The sequence below is a fragment of the Homo sapiens genome, chromosome 7 (assembly GCF_000001405.40).
Source record: "Homo sapiens chromosome 7, GRCh38.p14 Primary Assembly".
In the NCBI taxonomy this organism is placed as follows: Eukaryota; Metazoa; Chordata; class Mammalia; order Primates; family Hominidae; genus Homo; species Homo sapiens.
In genome coordinates this window covers 75,384,774-75,406,269 of record NC_000007.14, presented here as the reverse complement: position 1 = coordinate 75,406,269, position 21,496 = coordinate 75,384,774, and the positions used below count along the sequence as shown (strand labels likewise).

Sequence of the window (21,496 nt, the reverse complement as noted above, 5' to 3'; positions counted from 1 at the left end):
AGTGCTGGGATTACAGGTGTAAGCTGCTGTGCCCAGGCTCTGTGCCTTCATTTAAACCCATGTCTCCTGACCAAATTGTCTCTAAGACTAAAAGAAATGTGAGAAACAAGGAGTCTCCCATAAACAGGGAGTGAGGAAGGCTTGGGAACTGCACGTGTTCGTTTGTTGGGTCTAGAACATGGATCCGCTCTCTTCCCACAATCTGCAGAGCAAGTTTCAGGCAGGGCTGATACTGCCTGCTGCGCAAGGGTGAGGACGGTAAGCAAGGGATGCCTGGTGCTCCTGGATGTTGCTTCTGGCCATTTCCCACCTCTCCCAGCTCCCACTCCTCCTGATATCCTGCCTTACATCCAGCCACCCTGAACTTCTCATAACCAGAGTCCGCACGCCACTCCCCCTTTTACAGGACTGTTCCCTCGGCTTGCCTGGCAAACTCGGGTCCTGGGCCCTTCTCAGCCATCAGGCGTGTGCCCCTCTGCCAGGCCTCCCAGACACCTGCTCCTCCTCTAGTGTTTTGTTTTCTGAGACAGGGTCTCGCTCTGTCACCCAGGCTGGATCATGCAGTAGCATGATCATGACTCACTGCAGCATCAAACTTTGGGCTCAAGCAATCCTCCCATCTCAGCCTTATGAGTAGCAGGGACTATAGGCGCATGCCACCATGCCCAACTAATTTTTTTATTTTTGTATTTTTTGTAGAGACGGGGGTGTTACTACATTGGCCAGGCTGGTCTCGAACTCCCGGCCTCCAGCAATACTCCTGCCTTGGCCTCCCAAAGTACTGGGATTGCAGGCATGAGCTACCCTCCTCTAGTATTTCTGTAGCTTGAGTGAACTTCTGCTGTTCTAGGTACCCACAGTTCACCATCTGCCTCCCCACCTGTCTGCGAGACCCTTGAAGGCAGGGACGTGACTTTCCTCTATCTTCCCCAGGCTCAGTTATAGAGCCAGCTATAGGCAGCTGCTTGGGAGGCGCTGGTTAAGCTGAATGGAGGAACCAGTGGAGCTGAGATGCCCGTGCCCGCAGCCACCAGACCCTGGCTGAGCTCTCTCCAAGGTTATTACCTGGAGGCCATGGAGTGGAACTTCTGGAAGGCAAGAGAGAGGGAGGTTAAGGCTAGAAGGTGGGAAGCCAGGGCACTGTTGGGAAGGGGAAGGCCCTGGCGGGTATGGGGATGGGACGCCTCCCTGTCCACTCACCCAGATGAACTCATGGTGGTCCTCATTGCCGAACTGTTCCAGCACACACTCGGCTTGGGCCAGCCGCTCCCGGGTTCCCTGGGCCTGCTCCAGCTGCATGTCCAGGGAGGCCACCAGGCCACGGGTGTGACCCCCTATCCCCTCCAGGCAGCGGGCCTTCTCCTCGTCCACCGGGTGGCGCAGCTCCTGGAACTCGCGGCGGATCACCCAGCTGAAGACATCCGACTCATTCTGGGACAGGGAGGGCTGCTCACTGCAGAGTCACAGCCGAGCTGCCAGGCTCTGTCTGGCTGGCCTCGGTGTCCCCAGGGCCTTCCTGACCGGGTTGGTCCTGGGACCTGAGTCTCAGGGGAGGCTGCATGGCCTGGCGCCGGGCAGGGAGTTCACCCCATGCATGGGGAGCCCTGGCGGTGGCCGTGGGGAGGGTGGCCCCAGCTCCCATTTCAAATGGAGAGGCTCTGCTTTGGCCTGTTTTAATTTTTAATTTTTTTTTTAACAGACAGGGTCTCACTCTGTTGCCCAGGCTGGAGCGCAGTGGCACGATCATAGCTCACTGTAGCCTTGACCTCCCAGCCTCAAGCAATCCTCCCGCCTCAGCCTCCCGAGTTGCTGGGATTACAGATGCACGCCACCACACCCCACTTTGCCTATTTCAGCTATTAAATGTGCATATCCCAGAGTTCCACAACTGAAGGAAAGCAGGAAGGCCCTGGGCGAGCGGGCTTTGCTGTGAGGGAGCCAGAACTCCCTGCAGAACCCTGAGCTCCGCCTCCACCAGGCAGGGCTGATACCGCCTGCCGCGCAAGGGTGAGGAGGGTAAATGAGGGAGGCCAAGTGCTTCTGGATCTTGCTCGGCTCCTGTTTCTGTTTCACAGCCACCTCCAGGGCCGGGGCACTATGCGTCCCAGCCCCATGTGCCTCTCAGTTCAGGAGATCAGCCAGGGCCCAGGGCTGCCAGCCTCTCCACGCCTGCGCACCCAGGTACTGGGAGGGCACCATGACAGGCTGGCAAGGTCAAGCAGACACAGGTGGCACAGGGGCGGAGGAGTCACGCCCATGCTTTCAGCTGTTTACCCCCGAGACTCAAGTCCTGGGTTATCTCAGTCTCAAGGACACAGAGGGCAAAAGCCAACTTGGAGCCAGTCCTAACGACAACTGGGTTGAATTCCCCTGAGAGGATTTGCGCTTTCCCCACCCCGCCCCGGAATGCTTTGAGTTCTGGCTTTATATGGAAGGCATGGTTTTCTGTAAAGGACCAATGAGAACTGAGCTCTACAGGAAAGTGAAGGTGGCCGGTCCCAGGCAGGGGCAGAGGGAAGGGGCACTCACGACGATTCGGGTCCGGTTTTTCACCAGTTTGGCGATGAGCTCATCCACCTTCTTCTGCTCCTGCTTCAGCTCAGAGAAGAGGGCTGCGAGCTCCTCCTGGAGGCAACAGGCCATGGCCCCATGAGCAGCTGATCCCTCCCCTTCTCAGCTCCTTGGATCACCTTCTTGGGAGTATCCCAATGGCCACAAGCACTCCCAGGGAAACCAGGGCGGGAACCAGAGCCACCCAGGTACCCTTGAGTCCAAAACAGGTTAAATTGTTCAAGAATAGTCTGGGCGCAGTAGCTCACGCCTGTAATTCCAGCACTTTGGGAGACTGAGGTGGGACTTCACTTGAGGTCAGGAGTTTGAGACTAGCCTGGCCAACATGGTGAAACCCCATTTCTATTGAAAATACAAAAATTAGCCAGGTGTGGTGGCACACACCTGTAGTCCCAGCTACTTGGGAGGCTGAGGCACGAGAATCGCTTGAACCTGGGAGATTGATGTTGCAGTGAGCTGAGATCATGCCATTGCACTCCAGCCTGGGTGTCACAGTGAGACTCTGTCTCAAAAAATAAAAATAAAAAATAAGATAATTCAAGAATATTCTAAGGGCCGGGCGCGGTGGCTCACGCCTGTAATCCCAGCACTTTGGGAGGCCGAGGCTGGCTGATCACGAGGTCAGGAGATCGAGACCATCCTGGCTAACACAGTGAAACCCTGTCTCTACTAAAAATACAAAAAAAATTAGCCGGGCATGGTGGCGGGCACCTGTAGTCCCAGCTACTCCGGAGGCTGAGTCAGGAGAATGGCATGAACTTGGGAGGAGGAGGTTGCAGTGAGCCGAGATTGCGCCACAGCACTCCAGCCTGGGCAACAGAGCAAGACTCCATCTCAAGAAAAAAAAAAAAGAATATTCTAGGCTGGGCACAGTGGCTCATGCCTGTAATCCCAGCACTTTAGGAGGCCAAGATGGGAGGATCACTTGAGGCTAGGAATTTGAGACCAGACTGGGCAACACAGTGAAATCCCATCTCTAATGTTTTTTTTTTCTTCAAAGAATATTCTGGGCCGGGCGCGGTGGCTCACGCCTGTAATCCCAACACTCTGGGAGGCTGAGGCGGGCGGATCACGAGGTCAGGAGATCGAAACCATCCTGGCTAACACAGTGAAACCCTGTCTCTACTAAAAATACAAAAAATTAGCCGGGCGTGGTAGCGGGCGCCTGTAGTCCCAGCTACTCGGGAGGCTGAGGCAGGAGAATGGCGTGAACCTGGGAGGCGGAGCTTGCAGTGAGCCGAGATCGCCCACTGCACTCCAGCCTGGGCGACAGAGCGAGACTCCGTCTCAAAAAAAAAAAAAAAAAGAGAATATTCTGCATTGACAGCAGGAACTTCCCAGGCATAAGAGGGTCTCGATGTCACCCCTGTGCATGACATGGAGACAGTCACTAAATGTTACAGCTACCAGAAGTCACCATGTGATGCTGGCACTTCCTGGATTGAATGCTGCCTGTAGGGGACCCATCAGGTGAACTCTGTGGTCACCAGCAGATCCAGAATTAGTGGGTATTTAATCAGGAGCCATCACAAAAAGGCCGGCGCCAGGTGAGGCTAATTCTAGGGCCAGTGGTGCTCACACGGGCCTGGGTTTAACCTGGTGAATCCCCACACCTATAAACACCTGAATCCATTCCTGGTGGGCTTGGACACAGCACGGATTTGCGACCTCCCCAAGCTGACATAAATGCACTTCTCCTGGACTGCCCGGGCCCCAAATCTGACCTAGCCTTGGGGGTGCCAACCAGGACTCCTGGACCACCATCTACTCCATGACTTGACCAGAGCCCCCGTCGGTTTATACCCATGCAATGTACAGAATTTTTGGCTTGGATCGTGCCCAAGCACCAGAGAGCTGTAAGGGGCTTTCAGGAAGGGAGTTGGGTAAAGAATCAAGCACTTGCTGGCATAAACGGACAGAGTCCTTGCTCTGGAGAATGAGGCATCAGAACATCTCACAGAGGCCTAAGAACAGCATTCCAATGTCACCCTCCCCAGGCAGACAGACGGGACTCATTCCTTCCCCGTGAGAAGAACTAAGTTATGCAAATCAATGCACCCATCAATCGAGCATCTCAAGATCTCAATAAACAGGAGGCAACGGGAACACCTTAAAGAGGGCAATAAAGGAGTGCAATTTAGTTGTATTCTGTGTTGCAACAGAGAAGAGCCTCGGGATCATCAAAACCCAAATCTGGCCGGGAACAGTGGCTCATGCCTGGAATCCCAGCACTTTGGGAGGCCGAGACGGGAGGATCACTTGAGGCCAGGAGTTTGAGTCCAGCCTGGACAAAATAGTGAGACCCTGTCTCTACCAAAAAAAAAAAAAATTAAGCCCAAATCTAAAACAGGGACCCAAGCTGAGCTGCTGGATCCTAACTACAAAGGACAGACAATCTCCCAGCCTGTTCCCTCCCTCCTTCCCATCAACTAATAAAACATAAACTCGGCTTCCTCACCTGCAGTTGGCTTCCACCTTCCATACTCCCCTAAACCTGCTCTTGCCAAGATAATCAGTTCTTACTGCTACATTTAACACTTTTCAGTCCTCAGAGACATTTCACACACGTGATCTCCTCCTTCAGTCTGTCTCTCTGATTTCCGGGAGGCCACACTCAGCCGGTGTTCCTGCTCTGAGGATTCTTTCTATTCCTTTTTCAGGGCTCTCTCTCTCTCAATCCAGATTTTAAGCCTGGTACCCCTTGGGGTCATCATCAGTGTCTTCCCTTATCACTATGTAGACTCTCCTGGGTTGGTCTTCTCCACCAAAGGGGACTTCAGTGACCACCAAGAGGAAGGACCCTCCACACCTCTTGCCCTGAGCCCCACCGCTGTCCTGGTCTGCACACCCCTCAACCCGACTGCACATCCCCAGGCACCTCCCGCTCCACCTGCCCACGCCGGATCCTCCCCTGCGATCACTTCCTCTGTGCAAGGGGGAATTACAGAGCTGGAGTCAACCTCCCCATCCCTCACCCTCCTTGCCACACACAGTTGTCAGGGTTTTTTTCTGTTTGAAATTTGTCTTTGGTCTGCCCCAGGCCTTTGTCCCAGTTCCCACCAACTTAGGTCCTGGCACCTTCATCTCTCACTGTCCTTTTGCCTCACCCTCAAAGCTCCCCTCTGCCAGAGAGATCTGAGCATGTCATCACTGGCTTAAAACACTCCAGCCCCCGCCTTTCTCCCTCATCCTGTGAATAAACTCCAAATCCATTCCCGGGTCACACTGGCCTCTCCATGCCCCAGCCGCAGCTTACCTCGCTGGCCCTATCTCGCCCCCACCCATGCTCCCTCCAGCTTTATGCTGGGATTACAGGAGTGGCCACTGCGCCTGGCCAACCAGGCTAATTTTGAAACTTTTGTAGAGGCAGGGTCTCACTATGTTGCCCAGGCTGGTCTCAAACTCCTGGACTCAAGTGATCCACCCACCTCGGCCTCCCAAAGTGCTGTTATTATAGGCATAAGCCACCCAGTCACGTGTTTTATAACAGGTGTTTTATATATATAACACCCAGTCAGGTATTATTATTACTCATCTTAAAGAATGATCTGCTAGGTTTGGTGATGGCCTATAAAGGCAGGAATTCACTGATTCAGCATTTTGGACATTTACAATGTGCCAGGCATGGCTCCAGGCACTGAAATACACCAGGGGACAAAATGAAGTCCCCACTCTCATGCACCAGAGAGTGCAAACAGGGGAGTGTCCAGACACAAACAAGGGGCGTAGGGCAGTGGTGCATGCCTATAATTCCAGCACTTTGGGAGGCCCAGGCAGGAAGATCGTTGGAGGCCAAGGAATTCAACACCAGCCTGGGCAACATAACCAGACCCCATTTCTACAAAATATAAAAAATGAGCTGGGCATGGTGGTGTGCACCTGTAGTCCCAGCTGCTCGGGAGGCTGAGGTGGGTGGATTGCTTGAGCCTAGGAGTTGGAGGCTGCAGTGAGCCATGATCACACCACTGCACTCCAGCCTGGGCAACAGAGTGAGACGCTGTCTCCAAAAAGAAAGAAGAAAAAGAAAGGGGGGGCGGGCGAGGGAGGGGGAGAGAGAGAGAGAGGAAGGGAAGGGGGCGGGAGAGAGAGAAAGAAAAAAAGAAAAAGAAACAAACCAGAACTGCAAACAAAAAACAGGAAGGGGTGAGCACGTGACACCAGGGAGCTCCCATCCTGTGCGTGTAGCTTCAATCCCCAGCACCTGGGTTTAGCTGCCGCTCAAACACTAAGGAATGAATGCGCCAGGGCAGGGCTGCAGGGAAATCGAGGATAGCTGGATCCGTTTTGGTGCCAGTTGATAGCGCCAGAGAGCACAGGATCCAGTCCCCGCGGGCCCCGCCGCCCCGCCTGCACCCTCACTCCCCACCTTCATGCGGCTGCAGACGGTGGAGACGGGCGTGACCGGGTGGTGTTGGTGGGAGCCCAGCAGACCGCAGAGGCCACAGATGAGCTCCTGGTCCTTCTCGCAGAAAAGGCTGAGCGGGTTCCGGTGGTGCACGCAGACCTTGGGCTCCGGGTCCCCAGGGAGCCTCAGGGCTTCGATCACCCAGGCCAGGGAGACGTTGGGCAAGGAGCTGCTGCCGTCCACCACCTGCCAGCACATGGGGCAGCGCACCTTGGTGTCCAGGTGGTAGGACAGGGAAACCAGGCAGCCCTTGCAGTAGGAGTGGCCGCACTGTAGCATTAGGGACTCCTTGAAGACCTCCAGGCAGATGGGACACTGAAGCCGGTCCTCCAGCTCCAGCAGGCTCACCTGCCAAGCCATCCACACTCACTGCCCGGGCTGAAACACAGGCATCCGACCTCAGTCCTGTCCACTCCCCTCCCCCTGTCCAGCACTCACCCACCACCCTCAACCCTAAGGAGCACCAGAATTTTATAAGAAACACTTTGAGTCCTGGATCCCAGTCCTAACCCACATGACCTTGGGCCTCAGTTTCCACAGCTGTAAAACAAAAGACTGCAGTGAAAAAACTGGTCCCTTGAAGATACGTGTGTGTGTGTGTGTGTGTGTGTGTGTGTGTCTACATTTTTTACTCAAATTTGGAGACAAGCATGAAAGGGGCCATCTGCAGGGTCATTTGCAGTGACACTAATAATGCAAGGTCCAGCCCCAGCATGCATCCGGACCTAGAACTGAACAGCAAAACCTAGGCAAGCTCCCCACCTTCTAGATCAGTTCCCAAACTTTCAGGAAACTGTTGAAAGCATAGGTGTAATAGAGATTCTAGAGGCCCACCTTCAAAGGATCTGCTTCAGGGGGTCTCCAGTGAGACCCAGAACTCTACACTTATAGGTGACACTCCCAGGTAATTCTAGAGAGCCTGGAACCTACAAGGCCTCTACCCTGATCTCCCACCTGCTCCCCTATGAAAGCTTGTCAGTGAGACAGAAGAAGCACCAGAAGCCCCCAGCGAGAGCCCGACATTGGAATACCTAGCTTCTCAGGATCCACTGGGCCTCCCACTATGGCCTCAAGCCAGCATCACTGGCTTTTCTTCTTCCCAGCAGGGAACAGCAGGCACAGAGTCAGAAGTGGGAAGTGCAGCTGGACGCCTGCACCACTGCCTGGTCTCTGCCCCTTCTCTCCTCCCCTTCCCCAGCAACACCCCTGTGTCCCCAAGGTCACCAGAATCAGGTGGAAACTGGGTTACATCACAGGACTGGGGAGGCAGCCTTTGTTGGGCCTGCTCTGATAACATTCAAGTGCTGGCCTTGGCCACTGTGGAGGAGGGGCAGAAACAGAGGGACTGGGTACACCGTCCACACCTCATGACCCCAACAGGAGCAGATAGGTGCTGGGAAACAGTTCTTTCTGAATCTCAATCTCTTGCTCTTATATCCTTTTTTGGGGGGGGTGGGGGGCTGGGGGGCAGGGGAAGACAGTGTCTTGCTCTGTTGCCCAGGCTGGAGTGCAGTGGCGTGGTCACAGCTCACTGCAGCCTCCAACTCCTAGGCTCAAGCCATCCTCCTACCTTAGCTGCCTGAGTAGCTGGGACTACAGGCACATGCCACCATGCCAAGCTAATTTTTAAAATTTTTTTTGTAGATACCGGGTCTTGCTTTGTTGCCCAGGCTGGTCTTCAACTTCTGGGCTCAAGCAATCCTCCCACCTTGGCCTCCCAAAGTGCTGGGATTACAGGCATGAGCCTTATTGCACGCAGTCTTCCTTCTCTCTCTCTTTTTTTCTAATACAAACTGGCAGATGATGGTTCGATCTCTCGAATTTTTTTTTTTATTTTATTGTTTTATTTACTTTAGTAGAGACAGGGGTCTCACTTTGTTGCCTGGGCTGGTTTTGAACTCCTGGCCTCAAGCAATCCTCCTACCTCAGCCTCCCAAAGTGCTGGGATTACAGGTGTGAGCCGCCGAACCTGGCCTCTTTTTTTTTTTTTTTTTAAAGATTTGAAGGTATCTTTATTTACTTATTTAGATTTTTTAAATCGAGGTATAACATATACAAGTGTGCAAATCTTAACCACACAGCTTGATAAACACTTGATGTATATACGTGCACTCTCAAGAGCAAGATGTACAGTGTTTCCAGAAAGCTCCCTCCTGCCTCCTTCCAGTCATAACTCCTAACAAGGACAGCCACTGTCCTTATTACCATGTTGTCATGTGGCCTGTTTTTGAATGTCACATAAACAGCATCATATAGAATGTACCCTTTTGTGTCTGGTTTCTTTCACTCAATAATATTAAATTGTGAGTTTTTTTTTAATGTGAAGTCTTTCAACGTTTAGAAATTCAATGACACTCTGTTATACAGGTTTTGTTTGTTTGTTTGTTTATTGAGACAGAGTTTTGCTCTTGTTGCCCAGGCTGGAGTGCAGTGGTGCAATCAGGCTCACTGCCACCTCCACCTCCCGGATTCAAGTGATTCTCCTGCCTCAGCCTCCCAAGTAGCTGAGGTTACAGGCGCCTGCCACCACACCGGCTAATTTTTTGTATTTTTAGTAGAGAGGCGGTTTCATCATGTGGGCCAGGCTGGTCTCAAACTCCTGACCTCGAGTGATCTACCCACTCTGGTCTCCCAAAGTGCTGGGATTACAGGTGTGAGCCACCGCGCCCAGCCTGTTACACAGTTAATGAATATTATGGTCATAATATACTGCTGTGGTTTGAATGTATCCTCCTAATTTCATGTGTTGGAAACGTAACCCCCAATGGGGCAGTATTGAAAGTTGGCTGTAGCCTACGCCTATAATCCCAGCACTTTGGGAGGTCAAGACTGGAGGATCGCTTGAAGCCAGGAGTTCAAGACCAGCCTAGGCAACAAAGCTACAAACCATCTTACCAGCAAATTAAAAACTAAAAAATAAATTAGCTGGGCCTGGTGGTGCACGTCTGTAATCCCAGCTACTTGGGAGGCCGAGGCAGGAGGATCTCTTGAGCCCAGGAGGTGGCGGCTGCAGTGAGCTGAGATCCATCACTGAACTCCAGCCTGGGCTCAGAGCGAGCCTCTGTCAATCAATCAATCAATCAATCAATCAGTGTCTTGTCTGGGCCTAAATTCTCTAGAATACAATGGAAGAGGGAAAGTGAAAGAAGGTGGAAGTAACCCACAGCTGGGAGCCCTGAACCCTGCTGGTGGCAGGTGGCTCTCGTGTCCTCACCAGGTTGCCCTGCAATCACATGCTGCATCCTTTTTCCTGAACCTGCCCCACGTGCCCCACCACGCAGCCACTCCGAGGGCTCCTTCAAGGGCGGCAGCCCTGTCACTCACGTGTTCCAAAAGTGCTTCCCCTGTGCCCTGACGGCCTCGCCATGTGTCCCATCACGCCCCACGCGCTCCCACTGTGCGCCCCACCTCGCACCCGTGCCCCATCATGCTCTGCGTGCTCGTTAGGTGCCCCATCATTTCCCGCTCGCTCTCATTACGTACCCAGCCTCCGGCCCCTGTAAGTGCCCCATCGTGCTCTCTGTCGCTCCAGTTAGATGCCCCATCCTGCCCCGCGAGCTCCAATTACGTGCCCCACCTAACCCCCCATGTCCGTGCCCCATCATGCCCCGCACGCTCTGGTTACATGCCCCGCCTGGCGCTCCCGCACATGCCCCATCATGCTCAGCGCGCTCCCATTACGTGCCGCCACCTCGCGCCCCTGCAAGTGCCCAATGTGCCCTGTGTGGTCCCGTTACGTGTCCCATCATGTTTTGTGCGCTCCGATTACGGGCCACACCTGGCAACTCACCGTGCGACCTCTGTAGTTCCAGAGCTCGCGAGGGCCAGGGCCGTTGGCGGCGGTTGGAACGAAACGATGAGTGCCTCCTCGTGGCCCCAGAATGTAATGCCGCCGTCGGTAGGGGTCTGCCGGGCATAAAGGGGCCTTCGGAACCCCACCAGAGTCACAGCCAGGAAGGGCAGCGGGGCGCACCAGGCCGAAGGCTCACGCCACAGGGAGGGCAGCTAGGACATGGGGGGAAGCGCGTTAAACCAGGGAGTCCTGGAAGGGGACGACGCCCCCGGCCAGGTGAGGGCCCAGACGTTTCGGGGGCGTAGACGCTGAGGGGTGGCCGGGTGGGTCTGCGGCTCTGAGGCCTGGCTTTCATTCTCCATCAGTCCCTGTACGAGCGGTTAAGTCAGAGGATGCTGGACATCTCGGGGGACCGGGGCGTGCTGAAGGACGTCATCCGAGAAGGAGCTGGAGACCTAGTGGCGCCTGATGCTTCGGTGCTAGGTACGCCCTGGGGCGGTTTGTCCGCAGGATCCATGTCATCGCACTCTGTTGGGAAGAGAGAGGCCTCATTTTCAAAAAGCATTTAATGGGGTTGGAAATGCTTTGTTTGAAGTGGATTTTTGTTTTTGAAACGGGGTCTCGCTCAGTTCCCCAGGCTGGAGTGCAGTGGTGCGAACATAGCTCACTGCAGCCTCTGCTTCCTGGGCTCAAGTGATTCTCCAGCCTCAGCCTCCCAAATAAGAGATTTACAGGCGCAATCCACCATGCCCGGCTAATTTTTAATATTTTTGTAGAGATGGGGCACTTTCTATGTTGCCCAGGCTGGTCTCAGACTCCTGGTCCCAAGTGATCCTCCCACCTCAGCCTCCCCAGTAGCTGGGATTACAAGCGTGAGCCGCTGCTTCTGCCATGAATTAGTTTTTTTAAGAGGAAAGCTAAGGAACCCTATGTCCCCTTTGCGTGATGCTTCCATGAAGCTCTTGAACCTCTGAGCCGAAGGGTAGGCTCCTAAAATGCAGAGAGATTTATTCCTGTACCTCGTGGTGTCGGGCAGCTTAAGCTCATCTGATCGCATTGTTTCTGTGTGATCATGAGAGACTCGATATTATGGTGGCGTGGGTGTTTTGGGTCCATTTTCCTTACATTCTTTCCTCTATTCTAGTGAAATACTATGGATACCTGGAACACTTGGACAGACCCTTCGATTCTAATTACTTTAGGAAAACTCCTCGGCTAATGAAACTTGGAGAGGGTAAATTCAGAGTAGGAGCTGGAGAAGAAGGGATTGTTTAGGAGCGAGATGAGGCACCATGCCTCAGGCTGGGAAGACTGCTCAGAGCGCAGGTTCTTTGAATTGACTTTGCTGAGGCTGGGTTTTGGTAAAACAGCCATGTTCTCTCCCCTTGAGACCTAGGCATTTGGGAGATGGCTTAATGGGCAAGGTATAATCTTTGCACTCTGACTTAACTCACCACTGGGAATGTTTCTTTGTTCATTTATTAAGTAAAAATCGACGAATGCTTACTTCCCACAATACATGGTGAAAAGAGAGGTTGTACTCAGAAGATTAGAACATCTCCACCCTTAAGGACCTCACAATGTAGTAGAGGAGACTGACCTGCACTCAGCTCACTTGGTAGAATCGGATGAGTGCCTGGGAGGTGAAAGCAGTGTTGTGGGTGTGCTTAATGAAGGCATGATTAATTCTAGCTGGGAAGTTCAGGGAAGGCTTCCTGGAAGAGGGGGCATTTGAACTGAGCCCGGAAGTTTGAATAAAATTTCTATCACTAGAAGCTGGGCACAGGCTCAGGAGGAAGACATTGCAGGAAGAGGGAACTGTGTGAGGGAGACATGGAGGCCAGAGTACTGCTGACTTAGAGGGGGAAGAAACTGATAGCATTAAGCAGGATACTGAGCAAGCTTCACCCACCTTCTTTGTCCCTTCTTACAGATATTACATTGTGGGGCATGGAGCTGGGCCTTCTGAGCATGCAGAGAGGAGAGCTGGCCAGGTTTCTGTTCAAACCGAACTACGCCTATGGAACGCTGGGCTCCCCTCCCTTGATCCCCCCAAACACCACTGTCCTGTTCAAGATTGAGCTGCTTGACTTCCTAGACTGTGCTGAGTCAGACAAGTTTTGTGCTCTCTCAGCTGTACGTTGCAGAGCACAAATGTCAGCACTTTATAGAGAGACAAATGGGTTGGTGTTTTTGGTAATTCTTCTAGATGGCCTGCCCTGAGGCTGATCGTCCGCCACTGCACTCCAGCATGGGCAACAGAGCAAGACTCCATCTCAAAAAAAAAAAAAAAGCCAGCTGGGATTTTTTTTTTGAGACATGACCTTGCACTGTTGCCCAGGCCGGAGAGCAGTGATGTGATCATAGCCCACTGCAGCCTCAAACTCCTGGACTCAAGCGATCCTCCTTCCTCAGCCTCCTGGGTAGCTGGGACTACAGGCTGGCACCACAACGCCTGGCTAATTTCTATATTTTTTGTAGAGATCATGTTGCCAGGCTGGTCTCAAATTTCTCGGCTCAAACAATCCTCCCACCTTGGCTCTTGAAGTGCCAGGATTACAGAAGTGAGCCGCCACACCCAGCCACAGCTGGGATTTTGATAGGGATTGTGTTGAATCTGTAGATCACTTCTGAAGTAATGAAATTTTAATAATATTAAGTCTTTTAATCCATGAACATGATTTCCTTCCATTTATTTAGGTCTTCTTTAGTTTCTTTCAATGATGTTTATAGTTTCTTTTTCTTTTGGAGATGGAGTCTTGCTCTGTCACCCAGGCTGGAGTGCAGTGGCATGATCTCGGCTCACTGTAACCTCTGCCTCTCGGGTTCAAGTGATCCTTGTGCCTCAGCCTCCCGAGTAGCTGGGATTACAGGTGCACTGTACCCGGCTAATATTTGTATTTTTAGTAGAGAAGGGGTTTCACCATATTGACCAGGCTGGTCTCGAACTCCTGACCACAGATGATCCGCCCACCTCGGCCTCCCAAAGCGCTTGGTTTACAGGCGTGAGCCACTGCGCCCAGCCTTATCTTTTCTTCCACACAGATGCTTCGTCTTGGGTAAACTCCTCGACTCCCAAGGCCCCAGCCTCCATCTTTACCTCAGAGCCTCCTGAACCTCCTCCTCCAGCCTCACCTTCCTCCAGCCTCACCACTCCTCCCTGGACCTGCAGCTCCGCACCCCCGGGGGCCTCAGAACTACCCCTTCCAGGGCCTCAGAACTACCCCTACGGTTTCTCCTGCGTAACCTTCTGCCTACCTTCCTGAGAGTGGTTGGTGACAGCAGCCGGGGCTAGAAACCTCGAGGCGACTGTGCTTGAGTCCTCTCTTGCTCTTTACATCCCAAATCCCATCAATTGTCACGCCTTGTGCCTTCCGCCTCTCAAATATTCAGAAAGCAGATGTATGCTGGGCACGGTGGTGACTCAAGCCTATAATCCCAGCACTTCGGAAGGCGGAGGCAGGAGGATCGCTTGAGGCCAGGAATTTTAGACCAGCCGGGGCAACATAGTGAAACCCCATCTCTACAAAATAAAAATAAAAATTAGCTGGGCGTGGTGGCGTGTGCCTGTAGTTTCAGCTACTGGAGAGGCTGAAGCGGGAGGATCACTTGAGCCCGGAGTTCAAGGCTGCAGTGGGCTATAGTCGTGCCACTTCACTCCAGTCTGGGCAACAGAGCAAGATCCTGTTTAAAAAAAAAAAAAAAGCAGATCTAAAGAGGGGCCTGGCGTGGTGGCTCACGCCTGTAATTCCAGCACTTTGGGAGGACAAGGCGGGCGAATCACCTGAGGTCAGGAGTTCAAGACCAACCTGGCCAACATGGTGAAACCCCATCTCTACTAAAAAATACAAAAATTAGCCAGGCGTGGTGGTGGATTCCTGTAACCCCAGCTACTCGGGAGGCTGAGGCAGGGAGAATCGCTTGAACCCAGGAGGCAGAGGTTGCAGTGAGCCAAGATCGTGCCACTGCATTCCAGCCTGGGCAACAGATTTGAGACTCCGTCTCAAAAAATAATAATAATTGGCCAGGCGCAGTGGCTCATGCCTGTAATCCCAGCACTTTGGGAGGCCAAGGCGGGCAGATCACCTGAGGTCAGGAGTTGGAGAGCAGCCTGACCAACATGGAGAAACCCCGTCTCTATTAAAAATACAAAATTAGCCAGGCGTGGTGGCACATGCCTGTAATCCAAGTTACTCGGGAGGCTGAGGCAGGACAATCGCTTGAACCTGGGAGGCAGAGGTTGCGGTGAGCCGAGATCGTGCCATTGCACTCCAGCCTGAGCAACAAGAACAAAACTCCGTCTCAAATAATAATAATAATTTAAAAATTTTAAAAATAGGTATAGAGCAGGCTCGTGCCTCCAGCACCCAATTCTGCACACTGGGTAACAAGATGGGTGGCAGCCACCCAGCCCTAAGCATCGGGAGCTCAGGTGTCAACACCTGAGGCAGGTGCAGGACCAGGGCAGGAGAAGGGGCTTCTACAGAAAGCGCCTAGGGGAGGTGGCACACACTGAGCTGGTCTGAATCAGCAGAGGAGAGAAGGAAGCATTTGAGTCACACTGCACGGTGAAGATGCCCAAGTGCAGAGGTCAGGAACAGTCAGTCCTCGGGGGAAGAGGGAGAGCAGGGGAGTGAAGGTGAGAGTGGGGGGTGGAGTCAGATGAGGGGCTCAAGTTCATTCTCATCCCCCACTGCCTGCGTGACGTGGGGTACAGTACTTCCTACTGAAGCCTCGGTTTCCTTATCCGAAACCTGGGGTGTGGTGGGGTCACCTCCATTCATGCTTGTGAAAGTCCTTTGTAAATGAAATGTACAGGACAAGCTTAAGGGGGGCCCAAGGAGGGGAACGCATCTTACACCTTGCAAAGGCCACCAATACCAAGCCCAAGTGCCCAGGCTTTATTTTTCAGATGGGGTGACCTTCACTGCATGAAGGTATTCGGTGGGACTTCTTTTTTTTTTTTTTTTTTTTAGACAGGGTCTTGCTCTGTCACCCAGGCTGGAGTACAGTGGTGCCATCATAGGTCACTGCAGCCTCCACTTCCTGGGCTCAAGCAATCCTCCCACCTCAGCCTCCCCAGTAGCTGGGACCACAGGCACGCACCACCACACCTAGCTAGTTTTTTTTCTTTTCGTAAAGACAGCGTCTTGATAGGTTGCCCAGGCTGCTCTGGGACTCTTGGCCTCAAGCAATCTTCCTACCTCCACCTCCCCAGTTGTTGCGCCATGGTGCCTAGCCAAGATGGGACTCTCATTCAAACAGTCAAAAACCCGACTTAAAGTAGCTCAGACACGCATAGAATGGATTGGCTGCTGTTGTGGACTCTCCGAGGGTGGCTCCATCTGCAGGCACTGTTGGAACCAGTACCCAAGGATGATGTCCCAGCATCTGTCTCTCCGGGATCTCACCTTTGTACCCTGCCCTCACTGGCTGCGTCTCATTTCTGCTTCCCTCTGTGTGGCTTCCTGTTGGTGGCAGGGTGAGGCCCCCAGGACAGCAGGCAGCCTCAGCCTCACCCTTTCCCAGTACTGAGACCCAGAATCTCACTGCGGACTCCTTGAGACAATCCCAGGGAAGGCTTTGATTGGCTTAGCTTGAGGCATCACTGCTCATCCCTGGACCATTCAGAACCTCGGTGGTGCTCCCTGATTGACCACCTGGTTTAGTGCCGCTTCTGTGCTGGAGGTAGGAGCCATGTGAGGAAGTCCTGGAATTGGGCAAGCACGGTCTTGGGAGGCCAGGCTGGGACCTCCTTCCCTAGGGAGTCCTGGGGATTCTGAACAGAGTGATGAATCCTCTGTGAGGGGCAGGGAGCCACAGATGGAGAGGGATGATGGGGGTGGATCTGGGCTGTGCCCGGAGAGGGGACCCTGCCAGGAGTGAGTGTCTTATGGAGGCAGAACGGGCTCCTGCAGTTCCCAAGGTGCCCTTAGGCCCCAACAAGCCCCTGTCCCCAGCCTTACACAGAGTCCTGAGACTTCGGGGAAATGACTTCACTGTGCCCGTTTCACCGGTGAGGTTCAACGACTTTCCCAACATGATGGGAGTCAGAGGCCCCAGGTCGCAAATCACTAGAGCACCCAGCCGCCACTCAGTCCAGGGGGACTTCCACGGGAAACCAGCACTGGGTGTCCAGGGCCAGTGGCAGAACCATGGGCCCTTCCTTCATCGAACCAATACGTTTGGGTGGGGGCGAGCTCCTCTCGCCCTAGTTGGTGGCGGGACTGCAGGAGAGGCACAGACCTTGCGGGGGTGGGGGAATTGGGGCCAACAGGGGCCGCGAGGAAGGCCCAGGGGTATTGCCTGTGGGAGTCCATCGGAACCTGGGCAGGCTTCCCAGAGGAGGCGGCCTCCGAGCCCCTGGGCACCCGTGATCCGCCAGGGCCTGGAAGAAAACGGACGGAGCAGGAGCAGAGGGAGGGGAGACGGGCAGTGGTGCGGCCCCCACCCGGGGGCTCGGGGCGCACAGGGGTCCCCGCCGCCCACCCGGCCGCCCCGCGATTCCTGCACGTCAGCAGAGTGGAAACGCGGAGCAGCGCCAGCCGGGGCGGGCTGGATGGGGCCTGGCAGCGCGGCCGGCGCTCCGCGGGTTCGGTTCCGCCCGCGTTTGTGTTGGCAGCGGCCCGCGGCTCGCGGCCGGGCGCATGAAAGGGGCCTCTGTCTGCGCCCCAGCCGCCCCGCTTGCCTTTCACTCTTAATATAATCTTCATTTTTAACCCAGCGGAGGTTCTCTTGGAATTTTTCCCCTTCTTCCAAAAATACATGTGCGTGCGTGTGTGTTTGCAAAAGGCCTTGACGGTGAAGGTCGGGATTGTCCCCGGGAAGGGAAGGGAAGGGCGAAACCTGAGGCGGGGAGGGAGACAGAAATATCTTTCTTTCTTCCTGTGCCCAGGCCTCCTCGGGGTCGCCACCGCTGCTAAGGGTCCCCCATCCTGCGCCCCCCCGGGGACTGGGGGTGCAGGACAGGATGGGGGGGTCCTCCTCCGACCACCCCCACACCCCCAACCCCGGGATGAATGAATGGGCTTTTTGGAAATTGGGGTCAGCAGGGAGGGGTGGGCGCCTCCTCCAGGGGTCCCTCCCTGGAGCTGGTCAGAGAATGGTGTCACCAGGTGTGGCCAGCGGGGGCTGTCCTCCCAGAGCGGGTAGGAAGGGAGACAGGACATCAGTCCTGCTAGGAAAGACCCTACTCTTTTTTATTTTTATTTTTTTTCTCTGAGACAGGGTCTTGGTCTGTCACCCACGCTGGAGTGCAGTGGTGCAATCATAGCTCACTGCAGCCTCTACCTCCTAGGCTCAGATGATCCTCCTGCCTCAGCCTCCCAAGTAACTAGGACTCCAGGCAGTGCCACCATGCCCAGCTAATTTTTTTTTTTTTTTTTTTTTAGAGATGGGGTCTCACTATGTTGCCCAGGCTGGTCTTGAACTCCCAGCCTTAAGCAATCCTCCTGCCTTGGCCTCCCAAATTGCTGGGATTACAGGCATGAGCCACTGTGCCCAGCCCTAGACCCTACTCTGTGTTGATGCTTGCTTGCAGGCTTAAATAGCCTGCGACAGTGTCCAGAAACTGTCACCAGTCAGCCCTTTGTTCACTTGCTGGGCAGAGGAGCGTTACACCTGAGGGAATTTTCCAGATTATGCCCACAGTGGCTGTTTGGAGAGTTCTCACTTCAAACATCTCAGGGCTCATCACAGAGCTTTCCATGCATGTTCCCAGGCAAGTCTCTTGTGGTCAGGGAAGTCAAGTAAGATTATCCCCGCAGAAGGGAAAAAGAAGGCTCAGAGAAAACAACTAACTTGTCCCCAAGTTGTGGAGCATGAGGGAGCTAGGGTGGGAATGAAAAAGCGGGTGATGGGAAGCCCAGGTTCTCCCTGCTGGATGCCTGGTTTTCAAACTGTTTTCTGCAGAGCTTCTGTTCATATTGGGGGTCTTGGAAATGTATGATTCTAATTATTTAAATATATATATTTAGGCCAGACACAGTGGCTCATGCTGGTAATCCCAGCACTTTGGGAGGTCCAGGTGGGAGGACTGCTCGAGCCCAGGAGTTTGAGACCAGCCTGGCAACATAGTGAGACCCCATCTACAAAAGTAACCTTCTGCCGAGTGCAGTGGCTCACACCTGTAATGCCAGCACTTTGGGAGACTCAGGCAGCCAGATCACCTGAGGTCAGGAGTTTGAGACCAGCCTGGCCAACATGGTGAAACCCCATCTCTACTAAAAATACAAAAATTAGCCTGGCGTGGTGGCACACCTGTAATCACAACTACTCAGGAGTGTGAGGCAGGAGAATCACTTGAACCTGGGAAGAGGAGGTTGCAGTAGCTGAGATCGGCACAGCAGTCTGGGTAACAGAGTGAGACTTGGTCTCAGAAAAAAAAAAAAAAAAAGACTTATTTAAAAAAAAAAAAATAGCTGGGCATGGCCATGGTGGCACATGCTTGTAGTCCCAGCTACTCGGGAGACTGAGGCAAGAGGATCCCTTGAGCCCAGAAATTGGAGGAGGCAGTGAGCTATGATTGTGCCACTGCACTCCATCCTGGGTGACAAAGCAAGACTCCATCTCAAAAAAATATATCTAATTTGTGTGTATATTTGGACTTCTGGTGTGAGCAATATAGTAGTAAATTTGATAGCCTGAAAACCATCCTACTCTAAACGTCTTGGTTACAAAACACCAACCACATCCTGTTTTTTGTTTTAATTCCAGAGTCGGGGTCTTGGTCTGTTACCCAGGCTGGTCTCCAACCTTTTTTTTTTTTTTTGAGACGAAGTCTCGCTCTGTCGCCCAGGCTGGAATGCAGTGGCGCGAACTCGGCTCACTGCAAGCTCTGCCTCCCGGGTTCACGCCATTCTCCTGCCTCAGCCTCCCGAGTAGCTGGGATTACAGGCGCCTGCCACCACGCCCGGCTAATTTTTGTATTTTTAGTAGAGATGGGGTTTCACCATGTTGGCCAGGCTGGTCTCGAACTCCTGACCTCAGGTGATCGCCCACCTCCGCCTCCCAAAGTGCTAGGATTACAGGCGTGAGCCACCGCACCCGGCCTGTTATTGTTTGTTGACACAGAGTCTTGCTCTGTTGCCCAGGCTGGAGTGCAGTGGAGCCATCTCAGCTCACTGCAGCCTCCGTCTCCCCAGCTCGTGATCCTCCCACCTCAGCCTCCTGAGTAGCTGGGACTACAGCCTCCACCACCACACCCAGCTTATTTATTTATTTATTTATTTATTTATTTAGTATTTTTAGTAGAGATGGGGTTTCACCATGTTAGCCAGGCTGGTCTCAAACTCCTGACTTCAGGTAATCCACCCACCTCAGGCTCCTAAAGTGCTGGGATTACAGGCATGAGCCACCTCACCCAGCAGTCAGGTGGTTGGTAACTGTCTCTCTTAAAATAATAATTGGTTGCAATCAACACCAGGGAAAGGCCGTTTCCCAATAGATAGAAAGCACCTGGAACTGGTGATCAGCAGCTTCCCGATAAGATCTCAGGAGCTGGGCGAGTGGGCTCAAGCATGTGCACTAAGAGGCAACATGGTGGAGTTTAACTGGCATATGACCTGGGAGCATTTGACTGGTAAAGGAAGAATGCCTCAAGTGAGCATGCGCACTTCAGTAAACACGCTGCGCATGAGGCCCCTCCGGAGCGCTGGCAGGCCACTGCGCATGCGGACAGACCACCCCAAGGGAAGAACCAGGGGAAAGTTAACGCAAGCCCCGGAAGGATGCCAACCTATCAAACCCCAAGTCCAAGATCAAACAGTGCACTTGACTCTCTCAAGTCACCTGCTTGACCCTCTTCCAAGTGTACTTTACCTCCTTTCCTTACTGCCCTAAAACTTTTTCTTTGTTTGGTTGGTTTTGTTTTTGTTTTGAGATGGAGTCTTGCTCTGTTGCCCAGGTTGGAGTGCAGTGTTGTGATCTCGGCTGACTGCAACCTCCACCTCCCGGGTTCAAGCAATTCTCCCACCTCAGCCTCCCCAGTAGCTGGGATTATAGGCATGTGCCACTATGTCTGGCTAATTTTTGTATTTTTAGTAGAGACAGGGTTTGGCCATGTTGGCCAGGCTGGTCTCAAACTCCTGACCTCAACTGATCCAACCACCTCGGCCTCCCAAAGTGCTGGGATTACAGGCGTGAGCTACCGTGCCCAGCACCTGCCCCAAAACATTTTAATAAACTTTCACTCCTGCTCTAAAACTTGCCTCGGTCCCTCACTCTGCCTCATGCCCCTTGGTGGAATTCTTTCTTCTGAGGAGGCAAGGACTGAGGTGAATCCATATGGATTCACCACCACTAACACTTCCCCCATATATCTCCCCACTGCTGGGCCCTGCTCACCTCAGTCCCCAAGGCCTCAGTGTGAGTGAGTTTATCAGATGCATTCACGAGTGGCAGGTGTCTGGGAGCCGATTCTGATGAGGGAAGAGAAAGAGAGGGGCTTTGAATTTGAGGTTCACACTTTCTTCAAGGAACAGGTTTAGCTGGACATAATGGTATACCTGTAATCCCAGTACTTTGGGAGGCCGAGGCAGGAGGATCACTTGAGGCCAGGAGTTTGAGACCAGCCTGGGCAACATAGAGAGACCCCCATCTCTACCAAAAAAAAAAAGAAAAATAAGCCAGGCACAGTGGTGTGTTCCTGTAGTCCCAGCTACTCTGGAGGCTGAGGCGGGAGGATCACTTGAGCCCAGGAGTTTGAGGCTGCAGTGAGCTATGATAGC

General features: G+C 53.3%; 1 protein-coding gene and 1 pseudogene across 2 annotated transcripts, besides 2 other annotated features; one reads left to right on the top strand and one right to left on the bottom strand.

Annotated features, from left to right (window-relative positions):
- Positions 1-664: 664 nt before the first annotated feature.
- Positions 665-10,641, bottom strand: TRIM73 (tripartite motif containing 73). Its single transcript, NM_198924.4, has 5 exons — positions 10,460-10,641; positions 6,938-7,354; positions 2,530-2,625; positions 1,201-1,431; positions 665-1,088 (listed from the first exon to the last, which is right to left on the bottom strand). Exons 2-5 carry the CDS (start codon positions 7,334-7,336, stop codon positions 1,062-1,064), a joined length of 753 nt encoding a protein of 250 aa, NP_944606.2. The 5' UTR covers positions 7,337-7,354; positions 10,460-10,641; the 3' UTR covers positions 665-1,061.
- Positions 10,030-10,636: an enhancer, noted in NCBI's record as "H3K27ac-H3K4me1 hESC enhancer chr7:75024908-75025514 (GRCh37/hg19 assembly coordinates)". NCBI's record gives its function as "activates a minimal SCP1, AML or CMV promoter by ChIP-STARR-seq in naive H9 embryonic stem cells {active_cell/tissue: H9 hESC(naive)}" and the evidence as "EXISTENCE:reporter gene assay evidence [ECO:0000049][PMID:30033119]".
- Positions 10,637-11,244: an enhancer, noted in NCBI's record as "H3K27ac-H3K4me1 hESC enhancer chr7:75024300-75024907 (GRCh37/hg19 assembly coordinates)". NCBI's record gives its function as "activates a minimal SCP1, AML or CMV promoter by ChIP-STARR-seq in naive H9 embryonic stem cells {active_cell/tissue: H9 hESC(naive)}" and the evidence as "EXISTENCE:reporter gene assay evidence [ECO:0000049][PMID:30033119]".
- On the top strand, positions 10,809-14,321 carry FKBP6P2 (FKBP6 pseudogene 2; annotated as a pseudogene). Its single transcript, NR_003602.3, has 5 exons — positions 10,809-11,045; positions 11,135-11,252; positions 11,914-12,003; positions 12,703-12,763; positions 13,815-14,321. The product of NR_003602.3 is annotated as an FKBP6 pseudogene 2 (transcript).
- Positions 14,322-21,496: the final 7,175 nt, after the last annotated feature.

What these genes read in the sequence shown, in the direction of transcription:
- TRIM73 (NM_198924.4), bottom strand. Translation starts at nt 7,336, where the DNA reads ATGGCTTGGCAGGTGAGCCTGCTGGAGCTGGAGGACCGGCTTCAGTGT. An exon ending in CCGTCTGCAGCCGCATGAAG is followed by an intron (nt 2,626 to 6,937) that starts GTGGGGAGTGAG and finishes TGTTGCCTCCAG; the next exon opens with GAGGAGCTCGCAGCCCTCTT. An exon ending in AAAACCGGACCCGAATCGTC is followed by an intron (nt 1,432 to 2,529) that starts GTGAGTGCCCCT and finishes TCCCTGTCCCAG; the next exon opens with AATGAGTCGGATGTCTTCAG.